Source organism: Homo sapiens, chromosome 14 (genome assembly GCF_000001405.40).
Source record: "Homo sapiens chromosome 14, GRCh38.p14 Primary Assembly".
In the NCBI taxonomy this organism is placed as follows: domain Eukaryota; kingdom Metazoa; phylum Chordata; class Mammalia; order Primates; family Hominidae; genus Homo; species Homo sapiens.
Window position 1 is genome coordinate 23,938,731 of NC_000014.9, and position 15,805 is coordinate 23,954,535.

A 15,805-nucleotide genomic window follows, 5' to 3' on the forward strand; every position below is an offset into this window, starting at 1 on the left:
CCATAAACAAAAAACTAAATAAATTTATTCCATAAAGATTTTAAACTTCTACAATTCATTAAAAAGACATAAATTCAAAAGTCAAAATGGTAAAAATATTCACAACATATGACAATCAAATGGTTAATTTCCTTTTATAAAGAGTTTATAGGAATAAATGAGAAAGAAGTAAACCCAAATAAAAGTAGACAAAGGTCATGAGCAGTTCATTTAAAAAGAAATACAAATATCTATAAACATACGAAAAGATAATCACCTTAATATCATTAATAATTAATATTTTCTCCCACATCAGCAAAAATCTGCATGTTTGTTAAAGCTGAGTGTTTTAAGGGTGTGATGAAATGGACACCATTACACAGGACTGCCTTTCAGGAAGGTTCTCTGCCACTGGAAAAGGGTACAGCTTTTCTAGAGGGCAATAGGTGATTTCTATTAAAATATCAAAGACACACTCCTTGCCCTTGTACTTCAACTATTTATCTGGGCTTAGTACAAGTTCTCCTAGCTACATGTACAAGGATGCTACTGCAACATCATGCCTTAGAGAAAAAGGCATAGTATATTTGGTATTGTACCAATGTCAATTTCCCAGAATTGATATTATACTACAGTTGTCACCACTGGGGGAAGAGTACTCAGGGACTCTATGTACTACTTTTGCAACTTCCTATGAGACTATAATTACTTCAAAATAAAAAGTGTTTCTTTAAAAAAATCATGGTGCATAAGTATTTATGGTTTCTTACAAAGTATGAAAAGGTAAGGGCAATCCTTGTTTAATTAAATTCAAAATGAGTGAGCAGAACATATGTAACCAGAAGGACAAATCCACCCTTCCCTTTTGTCAAGCACATCTGTGTGAAGAGACCACCAACAGGCTTTGTGTGAGCAACAAGGCTGTTTATTCACTTGAGTGCAAGTGGGCTGAGTCTGAAAACAGAGTCAGTGAAGGGAGATGGGGAAGGGGTTGCTTTATAGGAGTTGGGTAGGTAATGGAAAATTACAGTAAAAAGTGGTTATCTATTGTTAGCAGAGGAGGGGGTCACAAGGTACATGGTGGGGAGATGATAAGACCCATTGTCCAGAAGAAGACTGTCACAAGGTCGATTGATCAGTTAAGGTAGGACAGGGACAGGTCACAATGGTGGAATGTTGTAATGTTGGTTAATCAGTTAAGGCAGGAACTGGCTGTTTTACTTCTTGTGTGGTTTTTCAGCTGCCCCAGACTTCTTGGCTCCTGCAGGCCATCTGGACATATATGTGCAGGTCACAGGGGTTACAATGGCTGAGCTTCGGCTCAGAGGCCTGACACCTCTTACTTCTGAGGGATTGCTCAAGGTAGAAGGTTAATAAATTCTTAAACTACCCCCCACTTTCACTACAGAGATTAAGAGTACAGTTCTGTCCAAGGATTTGATCTGGCCCAACAAAGAGCCTTCTTCAGAAGTGGATTAGTTTTGTCCTTTGGTGAGGCTTGTGATGGGCCTTATTTATTCGTATTGTAGGCCTCTTATACTATTCCAAAAACAAGACAAGGGAACTGAAACCACTTTGCATAATAATGTCACCTATTATCTCCAGTGAGGCTAGTCTGGTCACCTCTGGATCAATAGTACTCTTTTTTTTTTTTTGAGATGGAGTTTTGCTCTTCTTGCCCAGGCTGGAGTGCAATGGCGCGATCTTGGCTCACTGCAACCTCTGCCTCCCGGGTTTAAGTGATTCTCCTGCCTCAGCCTCCCGAGTATTTGGGATTACAGGCGCCTGCCACCATGCCCGGCTAATTTTGCATTTTTAGTAGAAACGGGGTTTCTCCATGTTGGTCAGGTTGGTCTCTAACTCCTGACCTCAGGTGATCCATCCGCCTCAGCCTCCCAAAGTTCTGGGATTACAGGCGTGAGCCACCACACCTGGCCATAGTTGTCTTTCTTATTGTGGATTTAATCTGCATTGTCCCTAAGAACTCAGAATTACTGTTGATGCTTCAAAAGGGTGTGTGTGTGTGTGTGTGTGTTCAGTTAATCCAGAAATTCCTCCCAGGAAAATAGAAGACCCCAGGAGGAGTGGGGCAACAACTCTTTATCTGCTACGGGCAGACAGATCTTCATGAAAACACACATGAACCTCCAGAACTCGATGTGCTCCACCAGCCGGCCTTAGCTTGTCAAAGCCAACCTTGGAATTTCCTGCTGAAGCCCCCATGGAATAGCTCAGCTAGCAGGAACTGTAGAATAGAGGATCCTTACTTCAGTGCATCTTGATGTTCTGAGTGAAGGAACAGCACAGACCCTCTGGGAGACCATCCCTGTGTGTTAGTGAGGTCTTGCATTGTAAAGATCTTGAAGAAAGGAGACTGTGTCTGTGAGTCCTCAACAAAGCAGACACCTGATTGGAGTTAGGAGTCCAAAGGGTTTATCCGAAGTGGCACCTGTGAAAGGAAAAGGAAGGAAGCAGGATTGAGAAGAAAGTGTTAGACCATGAGATGCAGGTCTGACAAATGCCTGAGAGCTCCAAAGCAAAGAGGACCTTTAGAGAAGCCACATGTTGGGCAGAAATAGTGAGGTCCTTGACCACACTGTCCTGCTCAGTAAATGGCCAGAGCCGCCCTGAGAAGAACGTAACCTCCTTCCAGAAGCTGAAGTAGACCAGAAGGAGTTAACAGCTGGACACTCACAGCTAATCAGGCTCTCAGCAGCTGGGCCATGAGTCCTGTCTAGAAGGAAAACCTGAGCTTTGACCTGCGTCTCCACATCTGCCACAGGGACTATCTCTGGAGGACAGAGGAAACCTCAGTTTTGAAAGCAGGGCTAGGAATTTGCTGGTGCCAATAAAAGACCCAATGGGAACTTATATTAGGCATGCTATGCCTGGTGGATTTGTCCCTCTGTATTGTGATTCATTCTGCCCCCAAATCTTCAGTGAATTTCTTAGTGCCACGGCATTGTGAGGAATAAAGAATAGGCAGCTGGGGAAGTGTGTGAGTCCATGTTACATTGCTATAAAGGAATACCTGAGACTGGGTAATTCATATTGAAACAGGGTTTATTTGGCTCACAGTTCTGCAGGCTGTACAAGCACAGTACCAGCATGGAGGAGGTCCCAGGCTCCTTTTAACAACCAACTCCCACATGCACTAAAAGAGAGAGAACTCACTCATCACCAAGGGGAGGGCACCAAGCCATTCATGAGGGATCCACCCCCATGAACCAAACACCTCCCACCAAGCTCACCTCCAATATTGGGAATCACATTTCAGCATGAGATTTGGAGGGGACAAACATCCAAACTGTATCAGGAAGTATGGTATTCCCCATCTCATCCCTGCCCCAAAGCCTGCATCTCAGCATCCATGTAGAAATAATGTAAGGGCCATAATCTTGGAGTTCCCAGAAGTGGCCAGCCCCAGAGAGTGCTGAGGCCCAAGATGGAGCCACCTGCTATTTGAAAATAGACTGTGGAACTGCACAGACAAACCCCCTTCCCATACCACCCCTTCCCAAATACAGCAGAAGAAAGCAATCCTAGGCATGAGGGGAAAGAGAAGCCCATACTTGTTTTATAAGAATATTCTGCCTGCTAGGACCATGCAAATACTGGGATATTTCCAACCAGTATTCACAAACAACTGCTTAAATACTTGGCACTCAGTGAAAAAAACTGAAAAACCAAAAATTTGAGTAAGCTACACAACAGAGTTACAAAATTCTAGGAGTCGCTTCCAAGATGGCTGAATAGGAACAGCTCTGGTCTACAGCTCCCAGCATGATTGACACAGAAGACAGGTGATTTCTGCATTTCCAACTGAGGTGCGTGGTTCATGTCACTGAGATTGTTTGAACAGTGGGTGCAGCCCAAAAAGGGTGAGCTGAAGCAGGGCAGGGCGTCACCTCACCTGGGAAGAGCAAGGATTCAGGGGATTTCCCCTTCCCAGCCAAGGGAAGCCATGAGTGACTGTACCTGGAGAAATGGTACACTCCTGCACAAATACCGCACTTTTCCCATGGTCTTCGCAATCAGCAGACCGGGAGATTCCCTCCCGTGCCTGGCTCAGCAGGTCCCATGCCCACAGAGGCTTACTCACTGCAAGTGCAGCAGTTTGAGATTAACCTGGGATGGTGGAACTTGGTGGGGGAGGGGCGTCCACCATTGCTAAGGCTTGAGTAGGTGGTTCTATGATCACAGTGTAAACAAAGCGGCAAAAAAGCTCAAACTGGGCAGAGCCCACCACAGCTCAGTAAGGCCTACTGCCTCTCTAGATTCCACCTCAGGGGGCAGGGCGTACCTGAATAAAAGGAAGTAGACAGCTTCTGCAGACTTCAACATCATTGCCTGACACCTCAGAAGAGACCAGTGGTTCTCCCAGCATGGCATTTGAGCTCTGATAATGGACAGACTTCCTCCTCAAGTGGGTCCCTGACCCCTGTGTAACCTGATTGGGAGACACCTCCCAGTAGGGGCCGACAGACACCTCCTACAGGTGGGTGCCCCTCTGGGACAAAGCTTCCAGAAGAAGGATCAGGCAGCAATATTTGCTGTTCTGCAGCCTCCGCTAGTGATACCCAGGCAAACAGAGTCTGGAGTGGACCTCCAGCAAACTCCAAAAGACCTGCAGCTGAGAGGCCTGTCTGTTAGAAGGAAAACTAACAAACAGAAAGGAATAGCATCAACATCAACAAAAAGGACATCCACGCCAAAACCCCATCTGTATGTCACCAACACCAAAGACCAAAGGTAGATAAAACCACAAAGATGGGAGAAACCAGAGCAGAACAGCCAAAACATCCAAAAACCAGAACAACTCTTCTCCTCCAAAGGAATACAAGTCCTGGCCATACAGGGAACAAAATTAGACAGAGAGTTGACAGAAGTAGGCTTCAGAAAGTCAGTAATAACAAACTTCTCCGAGCTAAAGGAGCATGTTCTAACCCATCGTAAGGAAGCTAAAAACCTTGAAAAAAGGTTAGACAAATGGCTAACTAGAATAACCAGTGTAGAGAAGAGCTTAAATGACCTGATGGGGCTGAAAACCACAGTAGGAGAACTTCATGAAGGATACACAAGCTTCAATAGCTGATTTGATCAAGCAGAAGAAAGGATATCAGTGATTGAAGATCAAATTAATGAAGTTAAGTGAGAAGACAAGATTAGAGACAAAAAGAGTAAAAAGGAACATTCATTCAGGAAATACAGAGAACACCACAAACATACTCCTCAAAAAGAGCAACCCCAAGACACATAATTGTCAAATTCACCAAGGTAAAGGGAAGCCAGAGAGAAAGGTTGGGTTACTGACAAAGGGAAGCCCATCAGACTAACAGGGGACATTTCAGCAGAAACCCTACTATTGCGGGATCTGGCCAGCAGCCCGCAATGCAACAGGGCTCTCTCTTAGTTCCCAGGTGGATCAGCAGGTTGAGAAATAATAGACACACACAAGACAGTGAAAGCTGGGTCCAGGGGGTCACCGCCTTTTGGTCCCGTGGTGCCAACAACGCACTGGATATACCAGCATCTATTATTAAGTTTAGTGAGGATGGGGGTAGGTTAGTGAGGGATTTAGGGTCATTTGATTATGATGTGAGATGGTCACATGGTGATGAAGTAATTCTTTAACATAACATCTGTATGCAGAAGTACAGTATACAGGGATAAGGATTTACAATATAGTGTGTACATCAGTAATTTCTAACAGAGCCTTAAAACAGAAACACAGTCTTTTCATAACCCATGATTAGCAAGATATTAATCAGCAGTAACAGTTGCAGCAAAAGATGGTTACGAACAATCCATAGAAACAGGACCTGAAGCTAGACAACCGGTTAGACCAGAAATTTTCAGAAGGGAGTATGCCTTAACCCTAAAGAGGCCTAGAAGAGCCATGGCAAGATGAGGGCATTTATAGCCCTATCTTATCTATATGGACAGGTGCCCCCCATGCATCCATTTATAGGCTCTCCACAAGGGCCGCATTCCATTCCCAGAGCTATGAACATCTGCTTTTCTGGGATAGGAATCTTGGTGATGTGAAACCTCCCTGACTGCATGTCCATTCATAGGCTCTCTGCAGAGGGAAGCACATCACGTGCTGTTGGTTCATTCTGGCAGTCCAACCTGGCATTGTCTTTAGACAATCCTGCATGCAATTTTGTATTTACAATAATCAGGAGCATTTCATCTTTTATTCCATAGCAATAGTTTCAGGGGGTCTTCCTACACCCTACAAGCCAGAAGAGAGTCAGGACCAATATTCAACATTCTTAAATAAAAGAATTTTCAAAACAGAATTTCATATCCAGCCAAACTAAGCTTCATAAGTGAAGGAGAAATAAAATCCTTTACAGACAAGCAGATGCTGAGAGACTTTGTTGTCACCAGGCCTGACTTAGAAGAGCTCCTGAAGGTAGCACTTTACATGGAAAGGAAGAACCTTTTTGTTTTGCCACTGCAAAAAACATACCAAATTGTAAAGACCATTGATGCTATGAAGACACTGTATCAATTAATGGGTGAAATAACCAGCTAACATCATAATGACAGGATCCAATTCACATATAGCAATATCAACTTTAAATGTAAATGGGATAAATGCCCCAATTAAAAGACATAGACTGGCAAATTGGATAAAGAGTCAAGACTCGGCCGGGTGCAGTGGCACATGCCTGTAATCCCAGCACTTTGGGAGGCCAAGGCGGGCGGATCATGAGGTCAGGAGATTGAGACCATCCTGGCTAACATGGTGAAACCCCGTCTCTACTAAAAATACAAAAACTTAGCCAGGCATAGTGGCACCAGCCTGTAGTCCCAGCTACTTGGGAGGCTGAGGCAGGAGAATGGCATGAACCCAGTAGGTGGAGCATGTAGTGAGCCGACATTGTGCCACTACGCTCCAGCCTGGGTGACAGAGCGAGACTCTGTCTCAAAAAAAAAAAAAAAAAAGGAAAAAAAAAGAGTCAAGACCCATCAGTGTGCTGTATTCAGGAGGCCCATCACACATGCAAAGACACACATAGGCTCAAAATGAAGGGATGAAGGAAGATCTACCAAACAAATAAAAAGTGAAAAAAAGCAGGGGTTGCAATCCTAGTCTCGGATAAAACAGAATTTAAACCAACAAAGATCAAAAGACACAAAGAAGGCCATCACATAATGGTAAAAGAATCAATTCAACAAGAAGAGCTAACTATCCTAAATATATATATGCACCCAATACAGGAGCACCCAGGTTCATAAAGAAAGTTCAAACAGACCTACAAAGAGGCTTACACTCCCACACAATAATAATGGGAAACTATAAACCCCACTTTTAATATTAGACAGACAAAAAGACAGAAAATTAACAAGGATATCCAGGATTTGAACTCAGCTCTAGACCAAGCAGACCTAACACACATCTACAGAACTTTCCATTACAAATCAACAGAATATACATTCTTCTCAGCACCTCATCATGCTTATTCTAAAATTGACCACACAATTGGAAGTAAAACACTCCTTAGCAAATGTCAAAGAACAGAAATCACAACAAAATGTCTCTCAGACCACAGTGCAATCAAATTAGAACTCAGGATTAAGAAACTCACTCAAAACTGCACAACTGCATGGAAACTGAACAACCTGCTCCTGAATGACTACTGGGTAAATAACAAAATTAAAGCAGAAATAAAGATGTTCCTTGAAATCAATGAAAACAAAGACACAATGTACCAGAATCTCTGGGACACATTTAAAACAGTGTATAGAGGGAAATTTATAGCACTAAATGCCCACAAGAGAAAGCAGAAAAGATCTAAAATGAACTCCATAACATCACAACTAAAAGAACTAGAGAAGCAAGAGCAAACAAATTCAAAAGCTAGCAGAAGACAAGAAATAACTAAGATCACGGCAGAACTGAAGGAGATAGAGACACAAAAGAAACCTTCAAAAAACCAATGAATCCAGGAGCTGGTTATTTGAAAATATCAACAAAATAGATAGACCGCTGGCAAGACTAATAAGGCAGAAAAGAGAGAAAAATGAAATGGACACAATAAAAAATGAAAAAGGGGATATCACCTCCCATCCCACAGAAATACAAACTACCATCAGAGAACACCTCTACACAAATAATCGAGAAAATCTAGAAGAAATGGATAAATTCCTGGACACATAGACCCTTCCAAGAGAAAATCAGGAAGAAGTTGAATCTTTGAATAGACCAATATCAGGTTCTAAAATTGAGATAATAATTAATAGCCTACCAACCAAAAAAAGTCCAGGACCAGATGGATTCACAGCTGAATTCTACCAGAGGTACAAAGAGGAGCTGGTACCATTCCTTCTAAAACTATTCCAATCAATAGATAAAGAGGGAGTCCTCCCTAACTCATTTTATTAGGTCAGTATCATCCTGAAAACAAAGCCTGGCAGAGACACAACAAAAAAAAGAGAATTTTAGGCCAATATCCCAGATGAAAATCAATGCAAAAACCCTCAATAAAATACTGGCAAAACGAATCCAGCAGCACATCAAAAAGGTTATCCACCATGATCAAGCCGACTTCATCCCTGAGATGCAAGGCTTGTTCAACATATGCAAATCAATAAACGTAATCAATCACATAAACAGAACCAATGATAAAAACCACATGATTAATTATTTAGATACAGAAAGGCCTTCGATAAAATTGAACACCCCTTCATGCTAAAAACTCTCAATAAACTAGGTATTGATGGGATGTATCTCTAAATAATAAGAGCTATTTATGACAAAGCCACAGCCAGTATCATACTGCATGGGCAAAAACTGGAAGCATTCCCTTTGAAAAAAGGCACGAGACAAGGATGCCCTCTCACAACTACAACTCCTATTCAACATAGTATTGGAAGTTCTGGCTAGGGCAATCAGGAAAGAGAAAGAAATAAAAGGTATTCAAACAGGAAGAGAGGAAGTAAAATTGTCTCTGTTTGCAGATGACATGATTGTATATTTAGAAAACCTTATCGTCTCAGCCCAAAATCTCCTTAAGCTGATAAGCAACTTCAGCAAAGTCTCAGGATACAAAATCAATGTGCAAAAATGACAAGCATTCCTATACGCCAATAACAGACAATAGAGAGCCAAATCATGAGTGAACTCCCATTCACAATTGCTACAAAGAGAATAAAATACCTAGGAATCCAACTTACAAGGGATGTGAAGGACCTCTTCAAGGAGAAATACAGACACTGCTCGAGGAAATAAGTGAGGACACAAACAAATGGAAAAACATTCCATGCCCATGGATAGGAAGAATCAATATCGTGAAAATGGCCATACTGCCCAAAGTAATTTATAGATTCAATGCTATCCCCATCAAGCTACCATTGACTTTCTTCACAGAATTGGAAAAAACTACTTTGAATTTTATATGGAACCAAAAAAGAGCCAATATAATGAAGACAATCCTAAGCAAAAAGAACAAAGCTGGACGCATGATGCTACCTCACTTCAAACTATACGGCAAGGCTACAGTAACCAAAACAGCATGGTACTGGTACCAAAACAGATATCTAGACCAATGGAACAGAACAGAGGCCTCAGAAACAACACCACACATCTACAACCATCTGATCTTTGACAAACCTAACAAAAACAAGCAATAAGGAAAAGATTTCCTATTTAATAAATGGTGTTGGGAAAACTGGCTAGCCATATGCAGAAAACTGAAACTGGACCCCTTCCTTACACCTTATAAAAAAATTAACTCAAGATGGATTAAAGACTTAAACATAAGACCTAAAACCATAAAAACCCTAGAGGAAAACCTAGGACATACCATTCAGGACATAGGCATGAGCAAAGACTTCACGACTAAAATACCCAAAGCAACAGCAAAAAAAGCCAGAATAGACAAATGGGACTTAATTAAACTAAAGAGCTTCTGTACACCAAAAGAAACTATAATTAGAGTGAACAGAGAACCTACAGAATGTGAGAAAATTTTTGCAATCTATCTATCTGACAAAGGGCTAATATCCAGAATGTACAAAAAACTTAAATTTACAAGAAAAAAAAACCATCAAAAAGTGGGCTAAGAATGTGAACAGATACTTCTCAAAAGAAAACATTTATGCAGCCAAGAAACATGAAAAAATGCTCATCATCACTGCTCATTAGAAAAATGCAAATCAAAACCACAATGAGATACCATCTCACACCAGTTAGAATGGCAATCATTAAAATGTCAGGAAACAACAGATGCTGGAGAGGATGTGGAGAAATAGGAACGCTTTTATACTGTTGGTGGGAGTGTAAATTAGTTCAACCATTGTGGAAGACAGTGTGGCCATTCCACAAGGATCTAGAACTACAAATACCATTTGACCCAGCAATCCCATTACAGGGTATATATCCAAAGGATTATAAATCATTCTACTATAAAGACACATGCATATATATGTTTATTGCAGCACTGTTCACAATAGAAAAACCTTGGACCAACCCAAATGCCCATCAATGATAGACTGGAAAAAGAAAATGTGGCACATATACACCATGGAATATTATGCAGCCATAAAAAATGATGAGTTCATGTCCTTTGCAAAGACCTGGATGAAGCTGGAAACCGTCATTCTCAGCAAACTAATGAAAGAACAGAAAACCAAACACTGCACGTTCTCACTCATAAGTGGAAGTTGAACAATGAGAACACATGGACACAGGGAGGGCAATATCACACACCATGGCCTTTTCAGGGGGGTGGGGGGCTAGGGGAGGGATAGCATTAGGAGAAATACTTAATGTAGATGATGGGTTGATGGGTGCAGAAAACCACCATGGCACATGTACACTTGTGTAACAAACCTGCACATTCTGCAAGTGTATCTCAGAACTTAAAGTATAATTATTTAAAAAAAGAAATTAAAAAGTGGGGATTGGAGCATAGAAGAAAGAAAAGAAAAGAAATTTGAAGGACAGTATGTATAGTGTCATTTCAATTGTGGAAAAAATTTTTAAAAGAAAAATGCATGTAAATGTACAGGAAACTTCTGGAAGGATACACAAAGCCAAGAGCTATATGGGAAGAAGGTAAAAGAACCATAGGGAAGAGTTACCTTTTACTTTTCAAATAATTTTCTGTCCCTTTTTAAAATAATGTGTTATTTATATAATTTAATGAGTAGATGTGTTGATTTGAAAAACACACTGATCCTGAAAGTTTAAATTCCAGTTGAGAGAAAATTGATTTCTATGAAAACTATGGATTGCCCAACAATGCCAGAAAACTGAAGTGTAACTATGCAACACACACAGTGGTCAAGGTTGTCATCAGTCACTCTGATTTCACATAGAGAATTTAAAACACCTAATTGGGTGCAGTGGCTCACGCCTGCTATCCCAGCACTTTTGGAGGCCAAGGCAGGAAGATCACTAGGTCAAGGGATCGAGATCATCCTGGCCAACATGGTGACACCCCGTCTCTACTAAAAATACAAAAATTAGCTGGGTGAGGTGGTATGCACCTGTGGTCCCAGCTACTTGGGAGGCTGAGGCAGGAGAATCACTTGAACCCAGGAGGCAGAGGTTGCAGTGAGCTGAGATTGTGCCACTGCACTCCAGCCTGGCGACAGAGCAAAACTCTGTCACAAAGTAAAAAAAAAAAAAGAAGAAGAAGTTAAAATGCCACAGTCCTTGGTGGACTTAACAAAAGAAGATGAATGTGGGAATAAAGACAAAGACAAAAGAGTATTTTGGAAGAAGGGGTCAGGAGGCTCCTTGCTTCTAGTGAAGAAGGGCCCTGAGCTTCTATAGCCCTTTGTATTTATTGAGTAAAGGAGATAGGGAGAAGGGGGTAGTTGTCAGTCAGCTGCTTGGCTTAGTGCAGGCTTGCATGACTGCATTCTTTGAACAGTAGTCTCCAGATGTTCCTGTAGATAACCTCAAGGAGCACAGCACCAGGGAGTCATTGCCCTCAGCAAACCTTCTGGTAGCAGGCGCAGAAGTGAGTTTGCCCACATTCTGCATTCATGATAAACAGTTTGCTGTTAGATCATACAGCCTTCAGTGGAATGCTGAGTTGGTCACGACCCTCAGGCCTTTGGCTCCCTACATTAAAACACCCATTTCACCAGACTAAAAATATTCAATAAAATTTATAAAAAGCACTTAACGCTTGCCAGCATTTAGTAAGGAAGTGCTCAATAAATACTGTTAACACTCTTACTATTACTTTCTCTGCTTGGTAGTTGTCCTAACCCCACACCAGCCCTCCCACATTGCCTAATTCTGACTTGTGTCAGTGATGCAGGACTCGACTCAATCTAGGACAGCTATTGCAAAACGCAAGACTTAAATTCCACCCCAGGTGAAATCTCTTCTGGACCGCAGGCAGCCCTTGAAAAGGATGGGAGTAGTGCCCTCACTCATGAAGGCATTTGTCCCTCAAGATAGGCAGATGTTACCACCTCCATGTAAGAACAATCCCATTGCCTGTTACAGTTCCCATTTCAAAGAGATACTCCCACATATGCATGTATTTCCCTGAAAGATTTCCCGTTATTTATTTATTTATTTATTTATTTATTTATTTATTTATTTAGATGGAGTCTTTCATTCTGCTGCCCAGGCTGGAGTGCAATGGCATGATTTTGGCTCACTGCAACCTCTGCCTCCCACGTTCAAGCAATTCTCCTGCCACAGCCTCCTGAGTAGCTGGGATTACAGGCACATGCCACCAGGCCCGGCTGGTTTTTGTATTTTTAGTAGAGATGAGGTTTCACCATGTTGGCCAGGCTGATCTCGAACTTCTGACCACGCCCAGCTAATTTTCGTATTGTTAGTAAAGAGGATTACAGGTGTGAGCCACCATGCCCAGCCCAAGATTTCCTGTTCTTATCTCCAATAAGCGAGCTTGATGAGGAGTAGTGCTAGAGAGTCCCATACTTCTTGACTTCCTTCCATCCTTTTCTGCTCACAGGCCCCCTCCCTAATGTCCCCTGTGCTCTCCACAAAAGAAATAGTGCTAGAGGCCAAATAGCAACCCTGCCCACACAAGGAAGGGCCATGTAATGTTCACCAAGCACCCAAGCCACAATTCTCTCTTCCCAGAATCCTTTGCTCTTTGAAGTGTAGTCTTCCTCACCTTCCTGCCAACCTCAGCCCCTGAGTCCACCTGTCTACCTCTGAAGAGAAGGGAAAGAGAGATCAAACGCCCCCTGCAGGCCTGTCCCTTTGAACCAAGCCCTGAGAACCCCCGCAGCCGTCCTCCTGTGTACCCTCCCCCAGCCGCACACACAGATGGAGAGCCCTGGGAAGGGTTCCCACAGTGCGTTAGCTCCAAACAGTGCAAGAGGACAAGCAGTGTGGCGCTTCCAGCCTCTGTCAATAATTCATGAGGCTCAGACTGAGGAGCACCAGTCAGAGTCAGCCTTCCCTGGACATGGGGAAAATTATACTGAAGCTCTCCTGTCTCATCGGGATCTGCTGAGTAGCAAAGCAGAGTATTGCAGCTGTAACTTCTTGGCTGAGGAAAACACTAGAATTCCAGTGCAGGCCGTTCTATTACTTGCTCACCATACACCCCCTTTTGAATGTTGAAACCCTTTTTCAGCTGCTCAGCTTACCTGCACATATACTAAATGAATCTTGAGCAAACATGAATTCTATTCAAAAGTCATGCCTAGAACTGGATTTCACAAACCAGGATTCTTTCCCCTTTAATTGTAGGGACTGGCATAAGGCTGCCAAACTGGTGATTTCACCAATAACACATCTCTAAACCTACCCATCTGCTTTCATCATCTTTTCTAAAAGAAAACACTAACACACACACACACACACAAAAAGAAGCAAACGTATACTCCACAATAAAGGACTGTTAAATAAGCTTAGCTTTATGAAACTCACTGTAATTGTTTCCTTTTCTCATTTTGCCTTGAACTAGTGAAAACGCTGCCATGAACCAGCACTGCTTCTCAGTCTGGCTTTGGAGGCCAGTGGGTTAAACCAATTCAGATGCTTGCATTTGGGTCTGTTGGGGCCTTTCTACACTGTACCATAAGCCATCCAGATTTCTTCATTCTCCCGGAAACCCAGGAGGGAGATCATTTCAGCCCACTTGGCAGAAGTGCAGACTGAAGTCTTGGACACAGAATTTATAGCTGGCAAGGACTTTATTCATCATCCATACCCTCAGTAATTTACAGATGAAGAGTCTGGCCCAGGGCACCAATAATAATCACTACATGGTGGCAGTAACTACTATGTGCTTAGTAGCTTACAGTTCATAAAGAGATTTTGCATTCAACAAATATTTATTGAACTAAGATGGCGGCTAAGACCTGGGGACAGAGTGGTTAGGGAGAACTTGAGTGCCCCGAGTTCTTTGCATTTCCACCACTGCTTGAGGGACTGTCCAGCCTCCTCGCTACCACTTAGCCCCTGTAAAGGAGGAAGTCCCTTTGTCAACGGACATGAGAATGCTGTTTGGCCAATGACCATAGTCTGCCCTCCAGGGCCCGTGAAGATGGAAGAGACCTTGGGCAGAGTGAAGGGCAGTGCCAGGCCTGGCGCAGCTACTCCCTATCACGTCTCTCTCCCAGGCTCTTCCAGCCTCACCTGGTGGACTCCATGGCGACCACAGGCCTCACCTCCATGGGCAGTCTCAAAACATTTGCCCTCCTGTGGGCTGTCACACACATAGACCCAGACTTTCTTGGAGAAGGAATTCTGAAGAAGCAAAAGCAACCAACTCAAAACCCCCACTTCCCAGAGAAGAAAAGGTGGGCAAGCAGATGCAGAAAGGCAGCAGCCAAAGCCTGCGGGTTCCTGCAAGGGCCAGGGGAGGGGCGAGCCCTACAGGCAACTTGAACGGAGAGCTCACCCGCCAGCCCGGAAAGGCAAGCCCCAGTCAGGCGGAAGGTAGATGGTGGAGGGGCGCCGCGGCGGATGGAGGTGCCCAGGGCCACAGACCGCTCACAGCGGTACCGGGGCGGGGAGCAGGGCGGGCAGGGAATCGGCCCGCCCTTCGTCCTGCCCCTCGCCCTACTCTGTCACCGCCCCTGGGAAGAGTGGAACCCATACTTGCTGGTCTGATCCATGCACAAGGCGGGGCTGCTAGGCCTCTGTGCCCGGGCTTGGAATTCGGTGCGGATGGCCAGCTCCGGGATGACCCGCCGGGACCCGCTCGCAAATAAGGTGGCCCTGGTAACGGCCTCCACCGACGGGTGAGTGCTCCGGCCGGAGTTTCTGAGGCCCTGGCTGCCTGGAAACAGGCACTGGCCTCTCATCCTCGGCCTCCGGTGCCCCTGTCCTCAGACCTTACACGCTGCCAAAGTCTGGCCCTGGAAAAAAGGTAGCCACGTGGTCCGCCTGAAGCCACTCCGAATCCCCTAGCCCTGGACCCTCCCTTGCCAGCCCTCCTGTCCCTGCTACCTCTGGCACAACTGTGCCACCTCTGTGCAGCCCTATCGATCTAGTCTCCCCAGTGTTCTGGGCTGCCCCAGTCAACCAGCGCCACCTAGCGTCTGGGAAGACCAGAAACTGGAAATCCAAGGAAATCTGGATTTCAAAATACTATCCCACGGCCTCCAGCACTTTGAAAATGTACCAGACATTCTATTTGGGCACCGGAAAGTCCCCCGGAACCCCTCCCCCTTACCTAGATGGGACACCAGAGCCATATGTCGAGATTTTTGTTTAGGTCGGTACATCTGGGCCGACCTTGCCCAGCCTGTTTCTCACCCACCATTCTTGTCTATCCTGGTCCTCATTTCTACAGGACTTTGCTAGATGCCAGCTCTTCACAAAACTAAAATACAAATGTAGGTAAAATGCTAATAGCTG

General features: G+C 43.8%; 1 protein-coding gene and 1 long non-coding RNA gene across 12 annotated transcripts in view, besides 3 other annotated features; one reads left to right on the forward strand and one right to left on the reverse strand.

Moving 5' to 3' along the window:
• DHRS4-AS1 (DHRS4 antisense RNA 1) overlaps positions 1-15,805 on the reverse strand; it is a 16,382-nt gene continuing 577 nt past the window's right edge. The window contains exons 1-3 of one of the 4 annotated variants that reach the window (NR_023923.2): positions 15,395-15,467; positions 15,044-15,303; positions 1-2,428 (exon numbers count right to left, since the gene is read on the reverse strand). This is a non-coding gene — a long non-coding RNA (DHRS4 antisense RNA 1). Of the gene's footprint in view, positions 2,429-14,843; positions 15,468-15,805 lie in introns of those variants that run through there. The other 3 variants (NR_023924.2, NR_023921.2, NR_023922.2) reach the window with 3 other exon arrangements.
• Positions 14,562-14,761: an enhancer, noted in NCBI's record as "active region_8179". NCBI's record gives its function as "activates an Ori minimal core promoter by ATAC-STARR-seq in GM12878 lymphoblastoid cells {active_cell/tissue: GM12878}" and the evidence as "EXISTENCE:reporter gene assay evidence [ECO:0000049][PMID:35858748]".
• DHRS4 (dehydrogenase/reductase 4) overlaps positions 15,040-15,805 on the forward strand; it is a 15,510-nt gene continuing 14,744 nt past the window's right edge. For all 8 annotated transcript variants that reach the window (NM_021004.4, NM_001282987.2, NM_001282989.2 and 5 more), the window contains exon 1: positions 15,040-15,186. In NM_021004.4, coding sequence (NP_066284.2) covers positions 15,059-15,186 — 128 coding nt within the window. In that variant the 5' untranslated portion in view covers positions 15,040-15,058. The remainder of the gene's footprint in view (positions 15,187-15,805) is intronic.
• Positions 15,372-15,501: an enhancer, noted in NCBI's record as "active region_8180". NCBI's record gives its function as "activates an Ori minimal core promoter by ATAC-STARR-seq in GM12878 lymphoblastoid cells {active_cell/tissue: GM12878}" and the evidence as "EXISTENCE:reporter gene assay evidence [ECO:0000049][PMID:35858748]".
• Positions 15,552-15,681: an enhancer, noted in NCBI's record as "active region_8181". NCBI's record gives its function as "activates an Ori minimal core promoter by ATAC-STARR-seq in GM12878 lymphoblastoid cells {active_cell/tissue: GM12878}" and the evidence as "EXISTENCE:reporter gene assay evidence [ECO:0000049][PMID:35858748]".